This window comes from Homo sapiens, chromosome 7 (assembly GCF_000001405.40).
Source record: "Homo sapiens chromosome 7, GRCh38.p14 Primary Assembly".
In the NCBI taxonomy this organism is placed as follows: Eukaryota; Metazoa; Chordata; class Mammalia; order Primates; family Hominidae; genus Homo; species Homo sapiens.
Window position 1 is genome coordinate 102,935,616 of NC_000007.14, and position 20,847 is coordinate 102,956,462.

Here is a 20,847-nt window from a genome sequence, read left to right on the forward strand (position 1 = left end):
GAGCTAAGAAAACAGACGGGAGATTTTAGTAATGCTCTTGACATGTTAGTGAAGATTGATGTTCTCAAAGAGTGGTCTGGGAACTGCTAATCTACCCTACAATAACGAACCATGTAACAATGTCTATATGTTTCATTTCTGGCATGGTTTAATAATTTATTTGTAATATTAAAGCCAGATGTCATTAAGTGAGGTTCATATAGAGCACAGTATCATTTCTTCCACTTATTTTGGGAAATTTTGCTATGTTTTGTTTCTTTAAGGGCAAGAGAAAGGGGAAGTTCAGAGAGGAGGCCGTGGCTCCTCTCGAGAGAATGTTAGGCAGGAATTTATTAATGTTGTCAGGCATCCTGAACCAGAAGTAAATTTGCTCATTTACCAGCAAAGTCATGCTCAAGCCTTGCCCCACTGCCCCGCTCCCCTGCCCCCCACCCCAGCTGTAAAGATGGCACCTGGTTAGATCCCACAGCAGCAGCCATGTGGCACAGGGAGGTTTGCTTACCAAGACACCCTGTGAACTGTATATAATTCAGTGCCATAGGAAAGCAGTTACATACAGCTTCATAACCTGGGACATGCCATTCTAGGCTCCAGGTACCCACACACGCATGCTGTCTACAACTTCCAGGAAGATAGTAACATTCCCATTTACAGATGAGGAAAATGAGGCTCAAAGAGGTTCAGTCACTTGACCATGGATCTCACAGGTAAGTAGCAAAGCTAAGAAGTGAATCTTGGTCTATCTGAGCCAGAGCCTATGAGCTCTCTACTTCACCCTGCAATCTTCCAGAATTAATCTGAGCATATTCAAACAATCAGCTGTCTCAGCAATGCAACCATTAGAGAATTTCAAAGAGTAAGTAAATGTAGTTTTTCTATAGCCAGAGTGGGTAGAATTTCCCGGATATTGTTATGGTGAGTCCTTAGTGCTTCATGCTGAAGAGCATGTTTATTAGAATTTCCTTTGTGGTGCTTAGATTGAAAACTGGAATTATATATTTTTAATACTAATACAAAGCTACTCTCCTAGATTTTAGTTAGAATACTTGATATTGCTGAGGCTCTAACCTCAAGCTACAGTGAATTTGCACTTGCTGTATCAGGTGTAAATGAGAAAAGTAAATAGTATTAAGTTTATTAATTATCTGAGAAAAATACCATCTATACAAGATTTAAAACTTCTACAACGAGACTACACTGTGTTCTAAGAAGAGATAACATGTGAGGAAATGTCTCTTTTTCACTGCTTTTATGCTCTTGGGCCATTCCCTCCCCCAATGAGCCTATTTCTGCTTTTGTGTTTTTTTCCTTTTTTCCCATATTTTTCTCTTGAAAAACATCAGCTTATAAAAATAAGTACATTTTTATTGCTTTCTTCAACTTATTGTTGTGTAAACACAACCTTCCAGAAATGCCCCATAAATTCATACCCCCTGCTTTAAAAATACACATTATTTACTGAAACACAATATAAATAAGGTTTCATGACATACACACTTAGTATATGTAACACTGGGTCATCAAAGAACAACTTAAGTTCCTCCAAGTGTTAATGACTGTGTAATTCAGAGCCTATTATTTTAGATTATAAGACGAAGGGTAGGCCAGGTGCAGTGGCTCACGCCTATAATCCCAGCACTTTGGGAGGCCGAGGCAGGTGGGACACTTGAGGTCAGGAGTTCAAAACCAGCCTGGCCAAAAAGTTGAAACCCCATCTCTACTAAAAATACAAAAAAAAAAAAATAGCCAGGCATGGTGGCAGGCACCTGTAATCCCACCTACTTGGGAGGCTGAGCCATGAGAATCGCTTGAACTCTGGAGGCAGAGGTTGCAGTGAGCTGAGATCACGCCACTGCACTCCAGCCTGGGCGACAGAGCAAGACTCTGTCTCAAAAAAAAAAAAAAAAAATGAAGGGTAGCTTTGTCTTTTAATACTATCAGTACAAATGGCTTTCACTGTGGTTTATATAAATCTAGTGATTCATTTCATCATTTACTTTTCATTTTTTGTTATATTGCTGATTCCCATAAATTCAAAGGGAAGAGTCTTGTTTATTAAATTCCCTTTGGTAGTGCCTGCCACAGAGCCATGTGCTTTAGATTGATGATGATAACTGGACTACTCTTCTTTATTCTTTCAAAGCAGTAATTTAAGCAACCATTGAAAGTGAAAATACACAGAAGTTAAAAATCATGGCTAGAATTGAAGTGTGACAACCTGAGGATCGGTACAAGTATACCACATATACATGGTCACACATAGAGAACTTGCATACAGATTCCCCAACTCGGAGTTGAGACTTGCCCAGCTGACTTGCAATGAGTCAGATGGTGTGTATAGGGGACCTAATATGTGCCCATTCAACCACACAGACCTCAATGATCACTATGTATTTTTGCCTTAAATATCTAATGGCAAGAAAAAGAAATAATAGCTTTATTCACTGAGAAACAGGTACTTTGCCAAGAAATCCTAGTGTTTCAAAGGGAATAAATGTGAGACTAATTGAAAGGCATATTTATGCCATATTGAGGTAAACGGATTTGTCAAGAATACATGAAAGTCAGAGTTTTTAAACTGCTTTAGCTTCACATTGACCAGAATAGTTTACCATTTTTAAGGAGTTATTTTACTTCTAACATCAGATGGGGGAGAATTACGCAGGTAAATTACCCTTAGCTGCCTCCAAAGTTAAGGTCACAATTTTACTACAGCTTGAACAATAGTTAAGAATTTTGTATATGCAATAAACAGGGCCATTTATGTCTCTTTTCTTACTGCTACAAGCTTTCAGAGTAGTTCTGAGGTTGCTGACAACCAATATAGCCTGCTAAATGGGGAAATTACCTGGAGAAATTTCCTAATTTCCTCCTCAAAATCAACAAGATTTGGCTGGAGAAGGAGCAAGCTTGTAAGGGGTAATAATCAAGTAAATATGGTATTTGTTGAGGCATTTACCAAGAATTTGGGGTAGCAGTATATATGAAATGTGCATACCACATAGTACCTGGACTAGAAATAGGGGCATTGATCAAATTCTCCTTCTGGTCTGGGGAAATGTATATTTATATACTCTTTATCAAAAGCAAACACTTTGCATCAATATTTGCAATATTTGCAATTCTCATTGAAGTTCTAAGGTAAAAGAACTAAAGAATTTTTCTATTTATCAACACAGCAAATGAGATTTTCCTGTGTTTTTCTAAGCCACACTAGGAAAGCCTTTGTTTTGCATTTCCTGGTATTACTTGTGGATGCTATTTTTACCCAGGACTGCTGCTGACAATCCCAAAATGGATTCTGCAGTTTATATTCTTTTTCCAGCACCCACAGATCTGCCACATTGCCTAGGCCTAGTGTCAGGGTGTTCTCATAAACATTTTTTTCGACCCATTTATTTGTGGTTAACCCACTTTAGCTTGCCCTAAAATGGTTGCTCTGTCATCCACCTTCATGTCCAGCCCAGCAGATGTGGGTTCAATAAGCAAGTCCTGATAAACAGGCTGCTTTCTAGAACCTAGGAGGTTCTGACTTTGGTGACAAGGATGACCTACAGGTCTTAATGGCTTTATAGGGCCTTAGTGAGGACTCTGGCTTTCATCACAATTAGATGGGAAGTCACTGTAGGCTTTGCTGGGCTTTGATGGAATTTAGCGTATGCTAAGGCTTGTTTCATACTAACTTTCTTTGGCTTTAGATATCCCTTTACCCCTTCTCTTTAAGAGCTGATTCTTCAATCACACAGATATAACGGTGACCGAGGAAATGGGGGCAAAAAGAGCATAATAACGTAAATATTATTAAATTTTCCAGAGTTGAAAAAAGTGCCAAACAACATCCCTCCAGATATTGTTAAACTTGACTTGTCATACAATAAAATCAACCAACTTCGACCCAAGGAATTTGAAGATGTTCATGAGCTGAAGAAATTAAACCTCAGCAGCAATGGCATTGAATTCATCGATCCTGGTAAGTTCCCCTGTATAGCCCCTTCAATGGGTGGCAAGTGTTCTGTGATTTTTTTCTATGGCAACACTTATATACAGTAAATTCAGTTTAAAAGTAACTGAACTAAATAATAAAGTACAAGTTTTAATTAAACATGACACTTATACTAGGAGTTGTTTGCCACTCAGATAAATACTTGCCAAAATGCTGCTTTATGAAGTATGTAATACCACATATTACTACCATTTAATTCAGTTAGCCCAAATAGTGTGTTATAGATTTTTAAAGTAATATATGGCAAATGGTCAATAGTATACTAAAATGTAGTGGTTTTTTTTTTGTTTTTTGAGATGGAGTCTCACTCTTGTTGCCCAGACTGGATTGCAATGGTGTGATCTCGGCTCACTGCAACCTCTGCCTCTTGGGTTCAAGCAATTCTCCTGCCTCAGCCTCCCAAGCAGCTGGGATTATGGGCATGTGCCACCAGGCCTGGCTAATTTTGTATTTTTAGTAGAGATGGGGTTTCATCATGTTGGTCAGGCTGGTCTCAAACTCCTGACCTCAGGTGATCCGCCCACCTTGGCCTCCCAAAGTGCTGGGATTACAGGCATGAGCCACCGCGCCTGGCCAAATGTAGTGACTTTTTTTGTTTGTTTTTTTTTTTGAGATGGAGTCTAGCTCTGTTGCCAGGCTGGAGTGCAATGGTGCAATCTCGGCTCACTGCAAGCTCCGCCTCCCAGGTTCACGCCATTCTCCTGCCTCAGCCTCCCAAGTAGCTGGAACTACAGGCACCCGCCACCACGCCCGGCTAATTTTTCTGTATTTTTAGCAGAGACAGGGTTTCACCGTGTTAGCCAGGATGGTCTCTATCTCCTGACCTCATGATCCGCCCACCTCAGCCTCCCAAAGTGCTGGGATTACAGGCGTGAGCCACCATGCCTGGCCTAAATGTAGTGATTTTTAAAGGGAAATTCAAATTTGGAATTTTTTTTGCTATTCATTAAGCCCCATCTTGTTTAGAATAAATTAGAAACAAACTGCTAAGCACTAAGCTCAAATTAGGATAAAATGTGCTCAAACCAGAGCCAGACATATTATATCTAGTTCTAGATCAAGACCAATTCTCTTTCCCATCCTTCAAATCTCTTCTCCATTTGCTAAGCAAAGCCTCTGGCGAAAATGAGCTTGGTAAATTAAGTAAACACATCGGATTTGGAAAGAACTGAGAATTACTGCAATATTGACCAGATTTATAACATATATAACACAAGTGCTTTCACTAGGCTACTTCAATTTGAAAAGTTTTAACTATGAAAATGATTATTAAAATTATTAATAATGTAATGTAATGTTATAAACATTTTGAGTACAACTGTTTCCCCTGCTTTTCTTCATGATAATCTAATACCATTAATAGAACATTAGAATTTTAACACAATAAAAGTGAAAAATTAGAATGAACATTCTGGAGCCACAAGGGCATATTTTAGAGTTAACCTTTTTTTAAAAATTAGAAAAGCATAATTTTTTAAAATTTCCCAAGGGACAGCAGTATGCTACACTTATACCTTAGCTTGTTACAGATGATGCTAACTTGGGAGTATGTTTGAACTGTGAAGTCAAAAGCAATTTTCATTTTTCAATAAATAAGGATACTACAGACACCCTTCTCCCAAATGAAGTTAGCATTACATTAGTGTGCAAGTCAGTCACTGGTAGCCAGTGTCATGTCCACAAAGCCAGGGTACAGGGTAAAGAATCTGGAAGTGGAGACCCTTTCTTGCAAGAAAAACTCACTTCGACCCCCTATGATTCCATCTCCAACCTGACCAATCAGCACTCCCCACTTCCCAAGCCCCTACCTAGCAAATTATCTTTAAAAACTCTGATGCCTGAATGCTCAGGGAGACTGATTTGAGTAATAATAAAACTCTGGTCTCCCGCACAGCCAGCTCTGCATGAATTACTCTTTCTCCATTGCAATTCCCCTGTCTTGATAAATAGACTCTGTCTAGGCAGCGGGCAAGGTGAACCCATTGGATGGCTACAAACTAAAGAATCTCAGGACAAGCAAAAGCCATTCCAAAGGTCCTTGGGCAAGTGTCTAATTTCCTTCTGCTGTCATCCACAAGCAAAACTGTAGTTTACCAACTATCAATGCAAACAAGTTTTAAAGCTGTCTCAAAAAAAAAAAAAGATTATAATAGTTATTATATGTCCTAAGTTAAATGTATTAAAGTAATGAGTAACAGTGTGGCAATGTTTTAGTTACAACAAAACTAGTATACAAAGAAAACTTGAGAAAAATGAGAAGACAATGCAAAGAGATAGATAATAGTGTAAAATGGACTTGCCTTGCTTCTACTGATGTTTTTCACATGTTTCCCGTAACTGATACTTTTCATCAGTTGTGGAATTCCCATAATTGCAGGGATTCCTTTTCTGTCCTTAGGATCCCCTGAAGGCCTTTTAATCTTGTTCACCAAATGTGTGTTCCTTGCTGACACAAAATGGTCTCTACCATCAGTGGTGGTACTCTTTTTTCCCCCTTTGTTCAATTCAATCTCAGGAACGTATTTCCTACATTAATAAATATTTACTGAGCACCTACCAAATGCCAAGCACTTTCCTAGAACAAAAGTTCTTTTGAAACAAAAAAGTATCTTGGCAGTTAAGGCAAAATGACCTAAAGAAGTTTTAAAATGAAAGGTCTCCTATATTTCAGGGTCTTTGAGATGAAACCCTGCAAGTAGACTTACGTGAATGATTTTTGCTGTGGTAAGTATACAAATGCAGTGGGAGTTGCCAGACTTTAAAAGACGTGAATAACAATCATATAAAATGCCAGACATTGTTGTGGAAAAGAGAAAGAAGATACCCTACTAGGGGGTTTTTACCTCCTTTAAGAAACAGACTAAAACTAGTTTTCTCAAGTGCCTGAATATATATGGTTTAAATAACAATATACAACACTTTCAAAATAAAATCTAGGAATGTTTACATATGCTTTTAATCTCAAAGTCTAATGTCTTGAGAAAAGTAAATCTGTGAGATCACTGACTCACAGAATTTTAGCAAATAGAAAAAATCCAGTATCTTCAGAACACAAGGGCTGATCTTTTGTCCCCTACCCGCAAGACATTGCTTGGTACCAAAATAGAAAGTTATTTTTTTAAGGGGGAATTATGGGTTTTTTCTGAGAACAGATAATATGAAAATAGTTAATAGTATTGGTATGACCACATATTTTCCTAATTCAAAATAAGGACGCTATGCTCTACAAGAGTATTTTAAAACAATAATGAGATAATGTTTGAAATAGAAACAAAATATTTGTGAGTATTTCTGGAGTATCTGGCTGGTCCATATCAACTGGAATACAGATAACCCAGGTGTAGATTTCTTTGCTCTTAGAGGGTGAAAAAAGCTTTTTGTTGTTTTATTTTCAGTTATATTGGTTTTAATTATCCAGCCTCCAGCAAAATTAAATACATATGGATTCAAAGCTGATAGCTACCATAGTTTGCCAAAATACAACCAGATGTTTTCAAAATGTGGAAAAATTGTTTTTGGACTCTACAGGAATAGAACCCTTCCCCCAACACTGGGAAAAGGTTGTTTTCTAGGCATTTTCAGTGTTACTGATATCCCAGGAACTGTCAGATCACCACCCGGCACATTTTTCATTTTTATCTGCACTTGTCTTACATGCGAAATATTTTCTTAATTCATGTCTCTTTTTTGTAGCATCTTTTTTTCCCAAGTAAATACCAAAAAAAAAAAAAGCCCAAAATACATTTTTTAAAGCTAACTTAAAACTGAATATTGTATTCTAGTAAAACTAATCAAGGGAAAAGCTTTGAGTAACAATATATTTCACAATTTTGCATTTAGACACATTTACAGTGAAGAAATATAATTAAAAACAAAACCTTCTATCAATCCAGAAATTCTCTCCACAAAGGTAGTAACGAAAGAAACACTTTCATTATTGACTAAGCATTAAACCAGAATGTGACGCATATCACAGGCAATCCACTAAGAGACTGCAAAGACTCTCGCCACTATGTAACCAGGCAGATACCACCCATTACAGGAATCTCATCCCTGTGTAGCCAAGCAGATACCACCCATTACATATACGTTTTCAGGACAAGCAATAACGAATCCTTAAGGAAGAAGATTTGACAACACCTTTTGTCACACATAATTCATCCTAACTTTACCTGGTAAATGGAGTGACCATCTGTGTTAGCTTATTGGCCTTATTCAGAGAAAAATAAATTTCTGTCTTCATGACAGGAGGTAGTTTTGCAACTGGAAGCAAGATCTCACCAAAGTTAGGACCCCACCTTCCCACCAGAGCTGGGAGATGTCCTTGGAAAATACATTCTTGCATCATAAAGGTGACAAAAAGCCTATCTAGTCTTCAAAAGGATTTAAAGACATTTCAAAGAGAGGAGAAAGTACTTATAGTTAAAAGTTTTCTAAAGTAAAAGCTCTGAGAAAAAGAAAGGAAAAGAAATCTCTTTATTTTCAAAGGGGAAAATTAAGCCTCTTTTTAAAATTTGTATTTGTCCTTTCCATATGCCATACACTGTATTAACTCAATTACTCAGGCTCAATAAATATTTTCTGTTTCCAGCCGCTTTTTTAGGGCTCACACATTTAGAAGAATTAGATTTATCAAACAACAGTCTGCAAAACTTTGACTATGGCGTATTAGAAGACTTGTATTTTTTGAAACTCTTGTGGCTCAGAGATAACCCTTGGAGATGTGACTACAACATTCACTACCTCTACTACTGGTTAAAGCACCACTACAATGTCCATTTTAATGGCCTGGAATGCAAAACGCCTGAAGAATACAAAGGATGGTCTGTGGGAAAATATATTAGAAGTTACTATGAAGAATGCCCCAAAGACAAGTTACCAGCATATCCTGAGTCATTTGACCAAGACACAGAAGATGATGAATGGGAAAAAAAACATAGAGATCACACCGCAAAGAAGCAAAGCGTAATAATTACTATAGTAGGATAAGGTAGAAATTGTTCTGATTGTAATTAGTTTTGTATTTTCTATACTGGTGTTAGAAAACATATGTTTACATTTGATTAACTGTGTTGCCTATTTATGCAGGGTAATCCAGCTAAAGGAAGCTTTCTTTAATTATAAGTATTATTGTGACTATTATAGTAATCAAGAGAATGCTATCATCCTGCTTGCCTGTCCATTTGTGGAACAGCATCTGGTGATATGCAATTCCACACTGGTAACCTGCAGCAGTTGGGTCCTAATGATGGCATTAGACTTTCATAATGTCCTGTATAAATGTTTTTACTGCTTTTAGAAAATAAAGAAAAAAAACTTGGTTCATGTTTACATGCCTTTCGATAGCTGTTTGTGCATACTTAAAGATGATCAAAATGATTTTATACAAATGCTGTTATAATAAAATGTCATTCCCTACCCCTCTACTTTTTTTCAGTAAGTCATCTTATACATTAAATAAATTTCCATTTCTGATTTCTGTGCATTCCAAAATGAGGTCCTGATACATCCAAATTCTCAACCACTCTTCACTGATCCTTGCAAAGTACTGTCAAGCTAGACCTGAAAGGGAATTGTCACAAACAATAAGAAGAGAATGTGAGAATTACATTGGAAGCTGGTTAGAAGCTAGGACCCTGAATAACAGCTGTAGATGGTGTGAAGCATGAGCCCTGAAGAGGTATAAACACTCGTGAATATGGAGACACCATTTTTGTTTGTTTGTTTTTGTTTTTGTTTTGAGCAGGGTTCATACTGGGAATCCACCTGTCCGTGAGAAAGGGCCCTTCCTGCTAAGCTAGTATGTCGAGGAGCATAAAATAAAGAATGAAATTAGGATTTGGGGGCAGTATTTGGGATGAAGCCAGAATAAAATATAGGAAATAATACGAGGCCACTGAGGGAGGAGGTGGTGCCCAAAAGAAGCCCCGTGATTTGGGTTTGCAGGTTAAAATGAGCTCACCTAGAGAACTAGATCACCAGCAAAAGAGGAAATCAGTGGAGGATTTTAGACCCTGATCCCATCAGTTTGCATTTAGATAGTCATATTCTGCAAAGAGAAAAATAAAGTGAAAAGAAATATTCGCATGTCCTTAGTGAGATACTACTTTTTCCTTTTAATATACATTTTCCTTTCATGCTGAGTTGAATACATTTTCATTTCTTGTATCAAGGTATTCCTACAAAGTTTAGCAAATAACCACCTTATCTGATACTTGCACAAACTCCCAAAGCATGGAAGATGGTATATAACAAATAGTATTAGGCATTTTTTTTTTCTGAGATAAGAGTCTTGCTCTGTTGCCCAGGCTGGAGTGCAGTGCTCCAATCTCAGCTCGCTGCAACCTACGCCTTCCGGGTTCAAGCGATTCTCCTGTCTCAACCTCCCGAGTAGCTGGTATTACAGGTGCTCACCACCATGCCTGGCTAATTTTTGTATTTTTAGTAGAGACGAGGTTTCACCATGTTGGTCAGGCTGGTCTTGAACTCCTGACTTCAAGTGATCCACCCACCTCACCCTCCCAAAGTGCTGGGATTACAGGCGTGAGCCACACTCAGCCATGCACTTTTAAAGCACATGCTACATGCCAGACACCATGCTAAGAGCTTCACATATGCTACTTCTAATTCTCACAAAATCCCTCTGAGGTAGGTGATACTGTCTGCCTTTTATAGGTGAGGAATCAAGGTAGAGGGTTTAGGTAACTTGGACAAAGTCACACAGCTGGCAAGTGGCAGGGCCAGGATTCAGATCTGCCTAAGCCCTTTCTGCTATGCAGAGCTGCACAGCATTGTAAAAGTTATCCTTGTCCATGGCTGTCTGGCACCAGAACTTCCAGAACCAAACCCCAAAGAGGAGCAGGTACCAGGAAAGTGGGGGAGCACTCGTGAGGGCAGTTGGCAGGAGAAAGTCTTTTGTCCGAGACATTTAGATCTGTATTTATTTACAGGAAACAGAGAATGGGAAGCCAGAAGAACTGCCAGAGCTAACGCTTCAGTAAATAACTCTGGATTGTGAGTTTCTATTTTTATTTTATTTATTTATTTATTTATTTATTTATTTATTTATTTATTTTGAGACAGTCTCGCTCTGTCATACAGTCTGGAGTGCAGTGTTGCAATCTCGGCTCACTGTAGCCTTCGCCTCCTGGGTTCAAGCGATTCTCCTGCCTCAGCCTCCCGAGTAGCTGGGATTACAGGCGCCCACCACCACACCCAGCTAATTTTTGTATTTTTAGTAGAGACGGGGGTTTTGCCATGTTGGTCAGGCTGGTCTCGAACTCTTGACCTCGGGTGATCTGCTCGCCTCAGCCTCCCAAAGTGCTGAGATTACAGGCATGAGCCACTGAGCCTGGACTGGATTGTGAGGTTCTAACCACTCTGCCCAGTGGTCTGGGTCAGAGGTGGGGACTTAGAGACGTTACTTCTCCATGCAAATCCCTACATTGTTCACTATGAGGCATGAAAGCCAGCTACTACATTTCAAATGTTACCAGAGAGATGTAAGAAGTTCATTTATTTACAAATTCATTTATTATTGTTCATGAGCCTCAGAGTGGAATTTTAAGGACATAGGACCTGAAAGAGCCAAGATTTGATGATGGAAAAAGCCTGGTGTGACAACAGAATCACACTGGAGGCAAGAGGATTCTGGAATGAAATGAGATGAAACCTGATTCAGAGAAAGAGCCCAAGTTGTTCTCAGTATAATTTTTAGAGGCTAGTTAGGGATTTTATTGGTTGATTTTCATATTCAATTTAATCCCCAGGGATGTATTTGGAAATAAAGCTCCTGAACACATCAAAACAGAAATTAATCCAGGCCATCCAAAAGTAAGTCAGTAGGTATTGCTAACATCTCTCAGGGTCAAGACTGAAGTGGACTTTCAAATCTTAAGATTTGCCCCTTTTCTACATCAGAGTTAAACTTTTTCAGGGAAGTGTAGTTGATTCATGATGGAATGAACAATTAGACACTTCCTCTTCCACCAATTTCTTACTTTATAGTTACTCTTGTAACTTGCCTTTGGATGTCTCTTTTTTACGACAGACAATACAAGTTCATAAGGTTACAAAAATCAGTATATTTTACAGTAGTAAAAAATACTACTATCCTGAGATATACCTATTTGAACGTATATATCACTTGGATATTTGGATAAAATAAGTTAAAAAAAAAAACCCTTTCCTAGTCGTAAGATTCTCTGATTTTTCTGAAGTAAACAAGATTTACTATAAACGGAGTCCTCCTGAGTCCTGAGTTGGCTGTGACCTAATGCCTAGTTACTTGAGAAAGATATTTAATGTTAAGCAGCACTGCTTTTTCATTCATTCACCATTCCATCCTCTGGAGCCTATGCCCTGGATCAATTCATGTCTGTTTCTGAGAAATCTGAGTCTCCTGCTCTGGCAAATTGGCAAATCAAAGGGATTCAGTAATGAGGATCTTTTTTTTTTTTTTTTGAGTTGGAGTCTCCCTCTGTCACCCAGGCAGGAGTGCAATGGCACCATCTTGGCTCACCACAACCTCTGCCTCCTGGGTTCAAGTGATTCTCCTGCCTCAGCCTCCCGGGTAGCTGGGATTACAGGCGCCCGCCACCATGCCTGGCTAAATTTTATATTTTTAGTAGAGACAGAGTTTCACCATGTTGGCCAAGCTGGTCTCAAACTCCTGACTTCAAATGATCCGCCCACCTCAGCTTCCCAATGTGCTGGGATTACAGGACCACTGCGCCCGGCCAGTAATGAGGATCTACTTGTCTGAATTCTGTTAAGTCTGTGCCCTCATCTGCCTTTTAAGGATTTATTTATTTTCTTTTTTTTGACACAGAGTCTCGCTCTGTCGCCCAGGGTGGAGTGCAGTGGCATGATCTCGGCTCACTGCAACTTCCACCTTCCGGGTTCAAGCAATTCTCCTGCCTCAGCTTCCTGAGTAGCTAGGACTACAGGTGCCCGCCACCACACCCAGCTAATGTTTTGTATTTTTAGTAGAGATGGGGTTTCACCATGTTAGCCAGGATGATCTCGATCTCCTGACCTGTGATCTGCCTGCCTTGGCCTCCCAAAGTGCTGGGATTACAGGTGTGAGCCACCACGCCCAGCCTTTTTTTTTTGACACAGTCTCGCTCTGTCACCCAAGCTGAAGTGCAGTGGCATGATCTTGGCACACTGTAACCTCCATCTCATGGGTTCAAGCAATTCTCGTGCCTCAGCCACCCAAGTAGCTGGAATCACAGTTGCACATCACCATACCTGGCTAATTTTTGTATTTTTAGTAAAGACAAGGTTTCGCCATGTTGGCCAGGCTGGGCTCAAACTCCTGGCCTCAAGTGATCCGCGTGCCTTGGCCTCTCAAAGTACTGGGATTACAGGCATGAGCCACTGTGCCCAGCCTTAAATATTTTAAGATAACATTCTACAGTTAATTTTCTAAAATTTTACTGGTATAAGGATTACAACTGTTGTGTTCAATCAGCCAAACAGCCCAAAAGAGTAGCCAATATTTATCTTCAATCTAACAGTCAGAAAACCAATCTTCCCAGAAATGTGTGTAATTCTTGACACACCAATAGAGGAACTGATCTTAGCTGGGGTAGGGGTTGGTAGTGGGGCAGGAGAGACAATGGAAAAGCTAAAACATCTCTGAGAATTTTTTTTTAACTTTTATTTTAATTTCAAGGGTACATGTATAGGTTTGTTATATAGGTAAACTTGTGTCACAGGGGTTTGTTGTACAGATAATTTAGTCACCCAGGTATTAAGCCTAGTACATGTTAGTTATTTTTGCTGATCCTCTCCATCCTCCCACCCTCCACCCTCTGGTAAGCCCTAGTGTCCATCATTCCTCTCTATGTGTCCATGTGTTAAGAATGGTTTTTATCTTTGACACACTCAAGTTTTCTGGAATTAAAATGGGTTTGATTAAATAATTTTCAGTAAATTAAAAATATTACCAAGATAAGACAGACATTACATTTGCTTCCTTAAAAAAAATCAAGGTCTACTCAGGCTTGAATGCTCAGTTGTTTCTGTGATGAAGACAATTGTACTAAGAAGTACACTTCCAGAAAAATACTGCGTGAAATATATTTTAGTTACAAAATATTAAAAATTTAAAGAAAGAAAATGTTTACAGGCTATCTTGACCTCAGATACATATACAAACATATACATCCTATGTATAGTGGTTAAAACCTCACAATCCAGGCTGGGCATGGTGGCTCACACCTGTAATCCCAACACTTCAGGAGGCTGAGGCAGGCAGATCACTTGACGTCGGGAGTTCAAGACCAGCCTGGCCAACATGGCGAAATCCCGTCTCTACTAAAAGTCCAAAAATTAGCCAGGCATGGTGGTGCACACCTGTAATCCCACCTACTCAGGAGACTGAGGCATGAGAATTGTTTGAACTGGGGAGATGTGGTTGCAGTGAGCCAAGATTGTACCACTATATTCCAGTCTGGGCGAACCAGCAAGACTCTGTCTCAAAAAAAAACAAAAACAAAAACAGAAACACAACAATAAGAAAACAACCTGGTTAAAAATGGGCCAAAGACCTTAACAGACACCTCACCAGAAAGATAGAAGCATATGAGAAGATGTTCCATAACAAATGTCATCAGGGAAATGTAAATTAAAACAGCAATGAGATACCCCCACACACCTATTAGGATGGCCAAAATCCATAACTGTGACAGCACCAAATGCTGATGACGATGTAAAGCAACAGGAATTCCCATTCATTGCTGATGAGGATGTGGAGCAACAGGAACTCTCATTCATTGCTGATGAGAATGCAGAATGGTACAGCCAACTTTGGAAGACAGTTTGGCACTTTCTTACAAAACAGCACATACTCTTACCATATAATCCAGCAATCATGTTCCTTGGTATCTACCCAAAGGAGTTGAAAGCTTATGTCTACATAAAAACCTGCACATAAATGTTTATAACAACTTTATTCATATTTGCTCAAACTTGGAAGCAACCAAGATGTCTTTCAAGAGGTGAATTAATAAACTGTGGTATATTCAGACAATGGAATATTATTCAGCATTAAAAAAATGATTTATCAAGCCATGAAAAGACATAAAGGAAATTTAATTGCACATTAATAAGTGAAGGAAGCCCATCCAAAAAGGCTACATACTGTATGATTCCAACTATATGACATTCCAGAAAAGGCAAAACTATATAGACAATAAAAAGATTGGTGGTTGTCAGAAGCTAGCAGGGTGAGGGGGGATGACCAAGCAGAGCACAGAGGATTCCTAGGGGAATGAAACTACTCAGCACAATATTATAATGGTAAACACCTATCATTGTAAATTTGTCCAAACTCATACAATATTCAACACTAAGAGTGAACCCTATATAAACTATGGACTTTGGGTGATAATGATGCGTAAATATAGCTTCACCAATTGTAACAAGTGTGTCATTCTTGTGGGTGATGTTGATAGTGGGGAGGCTATGTATGTGTGGGGGAAGGAGGTATATAGGAAATCTCTATACCTTCTGCTCAATTTTGCGAGAACCTGAAATTTCTCTTAAGAATAAAGTTTATGGCTGGGCACAGTGGCTCACACCCGTAATCCTAGCAGTTTGAGAGGCCAAGGCGGGTGGATCACCTGAGGTTAGGAGATCAAGACCAGCTTGGCTAACATGGTGAAACCCCATCTCCACTAGCAGAGGTTGCAGTGAGCCAAGATCATGTCACTGCACTCCAGCCTGGGCAACAGAGCGAGACTCCATCTCTAAATAAATAAATAAATAAATAAATAAAAGTTAATTTAAAAAAAAACGAAAAGAAAGCTCTTAAATCAATAACCTAACTTTTAACCTGAAGAAACTAGAAAAGAAGAGCAAACAAAACCCAAGTCAACCAGAATAATAAAGACTGAAGTGGGCTAGGTGCAGTGGCTCACACCTGTAATCCTAGCATTTTGGGAGGCTGAGGCAGGAGGATCACTTGAGTTCAGGAGTTCAAGACCAGCCTGGGTAACATAGTCAGAGCCCGTCTCTACAAATTTTTTTTTAAAAAGATTAGCCAGGTGTGGCCACCTGTAGTCCTAGCTACTTAGGTGGGAGGTGGGAGGATCACTTAAGCCCAACAGGTTGAGGCTGCAGTGAGCTGTGATCATGCCAGTGTACTCCAGCCTGGGCAACAAAGTGAAACTCTCTCTCCAAAAAAAAAAAAAAAAAAGATTGGAGTGGAGATAAGCAAAATAGAAAATAGAAAATAGAGAATTAATAAAAATAAGGGTTTTTTTGAATATCCATATTTATAGTAGTATTATTCACAATACCTAAAAGACTGAAGCAACTTTACTGTCTATTATTGGAAGAATGGATAAACAAAATGTGTTATATACATACAATAAAATATTATTTACCCTTAAAAAGAAATGCTGACACATGCTAAAATAAGTAAACCCTGACGACATTGTGCTAAGTGAAGTAAGCCAGGCACAAAAGAACAATTATTGTTTGATTCCACTTATATGCGGCACCTAGAGTCATCAAATTCATAGAGATGGAAAGAAAGTAGAATGGTGGTTGCCAGGACCTAGGAGGAGGGCAAAAAGCGGATTTAGTACTTAATGGTACAAACTATCAGTTTTGTGAGATGAAAAAGTTCTGGAGATGCATCAGTGATGATGGTTGCATAAGAATGTGAATATACTTAATGCTACAGAACTGAACACATAAAAGTGGTTAAAATGGTAATTTTTAGGTTACATATTTTTTACAACAATGAAAAAAGAACCAAATGGTTGTTTGAAACAATCAACAAAATTTGCAAACCTTTACCTAGACTGACCAGGAAAACAAGAGGAAAGACTAATATTATTAAAATTAGAAATGAAAGTGGGTACATTAGTACTGACTTTACAGAAGTAAAAAGGATCATAACAGAATATTATGAACTGTTGTACCCCAACAAATTAGATAAACTGCATGGAATTGACAAATGCCTAGAAACACATGAACTACCAAAACTGACTCGAGAAGAAACAGAAGATCTAAATAGAGCTATAATAAGTAAAAATACTAAATCAGCAATCAAAAAACCTCCAACAAGGCCAGGCACCATGGCTCATTCCTGTAATCTCAGCACTTTGAGAGGCTGAGGCAGGTGGATCACTTGAGGTCAGGAGTTCTAGACCACCCTGGCCAACATGGCAAAACCCCGTCTCTACTCAAAATACAAAAATTAGCTGGGTGTGGTGGCACGCACCTGTAATCCCAGCTACTCAGGAGGCTGAGGCAGGAGAATCACTTGAACCCAGAAGGCAGAGGTTCCAGTGAGCCAAGATTGCACCACTGAACTCCAGCCTGGGTGACAGAGTGAGACTCCATCTCAAAACAAACAAACAAACAAACAAACAAAAAAACCCTCCAACAGAGAGCCTAGGACCAGATGGCTTCATGGGCAAATTTTACCAAACATTTAATCCTCAAACTTTAAACCAAACATTAATCCTCAAATTCTTCCCAAAAAATAGAAGGAAAAAATACCTCCTACCTCATTCGATGAAGCCAATATTATCCTGACAAGGAAGCCAAAGACATCACAAGAAGGAAAAACTACAGAGTAATATTCCTTTTAAATATAGATGCAAATATCCTCAAAAAATATTAGCAAAGAGAATCCAGCACCATATTAAAAGGATTATACACCATGATGTACGAACAAGCAAGACTGATCTCAGGCATTCAAGAGTGGTTCAACAGACGAAAAAAAAAATCAATCAATGTAATATACGCAATAATAATAGAAGGAAAGAGGGGAAAACCATTTCAGTTGACTTAGAAAAGGCATTTGACAAAATCCCATCACCCTTTTATAATAAGAACACTCAGTGAAGTAGGAATATATGGGAGCTTCCTCAATGAGCAATTGTGTAAGAAAAGAAAAAAAAGGGAGAATGGGTATGAGCTTCCTCTTTGGGCTGATGAAAATGGTCTAGAATTAAATAGTGCTGGTTGCTCAACATTGTTAATATAATAAAAAACACTGAATTGTACTCTTTAAAATGGTTAAAAAGGTGAATTTTATGTTACATAAAATGTATCTCAATAAACAAAAGCTTCCAGATAAGCATGCCTTGCTATTTCTCAGAAACTCATTCCACTGTTCAACTACCATTGCTATCATGAAAATCTTAGGTCAAACTGAAACCCTGAATGTTGCAACTTGAGTCCATTTCCTTCCTTCAGAAAATGCAGATGTATTTAATAGTATATTTTCTATGTATATTTCATATGTGTATATATGTGTGTATACACATATACCTATAGGGAAAGAGGGACAGACAAAAACAGAGAAACAAGGGGTGTTCCAAGATGGCCGAATAGGAACAGCTCCGGTCTGCAGCTCTCAACATGATCGACGCAGAAGACGGGTGATTTCTGCATTTCCAACTGAGGTACCTGGTTCATCTCACTGGGACTGGTTGGACAGTGGGTGCAGCCCACACAGGAAAAGCCAAAGCAGGGCAGAGCATCGCCTCACCCAGGAAGCACAAGGGGTCGGGGGATTTCCCTTTCCTAGCCAAGGGAAGCCATGACAGACTACCTGGAAAAATGGGGCACTGCTGCCCAAATACTGCACTTTAACATTCTTAAAGAAAATAATTTTCAACCCAGAATTTCTTATCTAGCCAAACTAAGCTTCATAAGTGAAGGAGAAATAAGATCCTTTACAGACAAGCAAATGCTGAGAGATTTTGTCACCACCAGGCCTGCCTTACAAGAACTCCTGAAGGAAGCACTAAACATGGAAAGAAACAACCGGTACCAGCCACTGCAAAAACATGACAAATTATAAAGACCATCACTGCTATGAAGAAACTGCATCAATTAACAGGCAAAACAAACAGCAAACATCATAACGACAGGAAAACATTCACACATCACAATATTAACTTTAAATATAAATGGGCTAAATGCCCCAATTAAAAGACACAGACTGGCAAATTGGATAAAGAGTCAAGACCCATCAGTGTGCTGTATTCAGGAGACCCATCTCATGTGCAAAGACACAGGTAGGCTCAAAATAAAGGGATGCGGGAAGATCTACCAAGCAAACGGAAAGCAAAAAAAGGAGGGGTTGCCATCCTACTCACTGATAAAACAGACTTTAAACCAACAAAGATCAAAAGAGACAAAGAAGGCCATGACATAATGGTAAAGGAATCAATTCAACAAGAAAAGATAACTATCCTAAATATATATGCACCCAATACAGGAGTTTCCAGATTCATAAAACAAGTCTGTAGAGACCTACAAAGAGACTTAGACTCCCACACAATAATAAGGGGAGAGTTTAACACCCCACTGTCAATATTAGATAGATCAACAAGAAAGAAGGTTAACAAGGATATCCAGGACCTGAACTCAGCTCTGCAACAAGCAGACCTAATAGACAACTACAGAACTCTCCATCCCAAATCAACAGAATATACATTCTTCTCAGCACCACATCGCACTTATTCTAAAATTGACCACATAATTGGAAGTAAAGCACTCCTCAGCAAATGTAAAACAACAGAAATCACAACAAACTGTCTCTCAGACCACAGTGTAATCAAATTAGAACTCAGGATTAACAAACTCACTCAAAACTGCACAACTACATGGAAACTGAACAACTTGCTCCTGAATGACTACTGGGTAAATAATGAACTGAAGGCAGAAATAAACATGTTCTTTGAAGCCAACGAGAACAAAGACACAACGCACCACAATCTGGGACACATTTAAAGCAGGGTGTAGAAGGAAACTTATAGCACTAAATGCCCCAAGAGTAAGCAGGAAAGATCTAAAATCGACACCCTAACATCACAATTAAAAGAACTAGAGAAGCAAGAGCAAATTCAAAAGCTAGCAGAAGGCAAGAAATAACTAAGATCAGAGCAGAACTGAAAGAGATAGAGACACAAAAAACCATTCAAAAAAAAACAATGAATCCAGGAGTTTTTTTTTTAAAAAGATCAACAGAATTGACAGACTGCTAGCAAGACTAATAAAGAAGAGAGAAGCATCAAATAGACTCAATAAAAAATGATAAAGGGGATATCACCACCAATCCCACAGAAATACAAACTACCATCAGAGAACACTATAAACACCTCTATGCAAATAAACTAGAAAATCTAGAAGAAATGGATAAATTCCTGGACACATACACCCTCCCAAGACTAAACCAGGAAGAAGTTGAATCTCTGAATAGACCAATAACAGGATCTGAAATTGAGGCAATAATTAATAGTCTAACAACCAAAAAAAGACCAGGACCAGACGGATTCACAGCCGAATTCTACCAGAAGTACAAACAGGAGGTGGCACTATTCCTTCTGAAACTATTCCAATCAACAGAAAAAGAGGGAATCCTCCCTAACTCATTTTATGAGGCCAACATCATCCTGATACCAAAGCCTGGCAGAGACACAACAAAAAAAGAGAATTTTAGACCAATATCCCTGATGAATATCGATGCAAAAATCCTCAATAAAATACTGGCAAACCGAATCCAGCAGCACATCAAAAAGCTTATCCACCACAATCAAGTTGGCTTCATCCCTGGAATGCAAGGCTGGTTCAACATATGCAAATCAATAAACGTAATCTATCACATAAACAGAACCAACAACAAAAACCACACAATTATCTCAACAGATACAGAAAAGGCCTTCGACAAAATTCAACAGCCCTTCATGCTAAAAACTCTCAATAAACTAGGTATTGATGGAACGTATCTCAAAACAATAAGAGCTATTTATGACAAACCCACAGCCAATATCATACTGAATGGGCAAAATTTGGAAGCATTCCCTTTG

General features: G+C 38.8%; 2 protein-coding genes across 25 annotated transcripts in view, besides 2 other annotated features; one reads left to right on the forward strand and one right to left on the reverse strand.

The window, feature by feature from the left end:
• Nucleotides 1–9,496, forward strand: part of LRRC17 (leucine rich repeat containing 17) — a 32,112-nt gene extending 22,616 nt beyond the window's left edge. For 3 of the 4 annotated variants that reach the window (XM_047419717.1, XM_005250108.2, NM_001031692.3), the window contains 2 exons: nucleotides 3,815–3,970; nucleotides 8,595–9,496. In XM_047419717.1, coding sequence (XP_047275673.1) covers nucleotides 3,815–3,970; nucleotides 8,595–8,992 — 554 coding nt within the window. In that variant the 3' untranslated portion in view covers nucleotides 8,993–9,496. Of the gene's footprint in view, nucleotides 1–3,814; nucleotides 3,971–6,674; nucleotides 6,728–8,594 lie in introns of all 4 variants that reach the window. The other variant, NM_005824.3, reaches the window with a different exon arrangement.
• FBXL13 (F-box and leucine rich repeat protein 13) overlaps nucleotides 1–20,847 on the reverse strand; it is a 263,608-nt gene that overhangs the window by 124,427 nt on the left and 118,334 nt on the right. The gene's annotated exons all lie outside the window — the stretch shown is intronic.
• Nucleotides 4,611–5,111: an enhancer, noted in NCBI's record as "H3K27ac hESC enhancer chr7:102580673-102581173 (GRCh37/hg19 assembly coordinates)". NCBI's record gives its function as "activates a minimal SCP1, AML or CMV promoter by ChIP-STARR-seq in primed H9 embryonic stem cells {active_cell/tissue: H9 hESC(primed)}" and the evidence as "EXISTENCE:reporter gene assay evidence [ECO:0000049][PMID:30033119]".
• Nucleotides 8,174–8,739: an enhancer, noted in NCBI's record as "OCT4-NANOG hESC enhancer chr7:102584236-102584801 (GRCh37/hg19 assembly coordinates)". NCBI's record gives its function as "activates a minimal SCP1, AML or CMV promoter by ChIP-STARR-seq in primed H9 embryonic stem cells {active_cell/tissue: H9 hESC(primed)}" and the evidence as "EXISTENCE:reporter gene assay evidence [ECO:0000049][PMID:30033119]".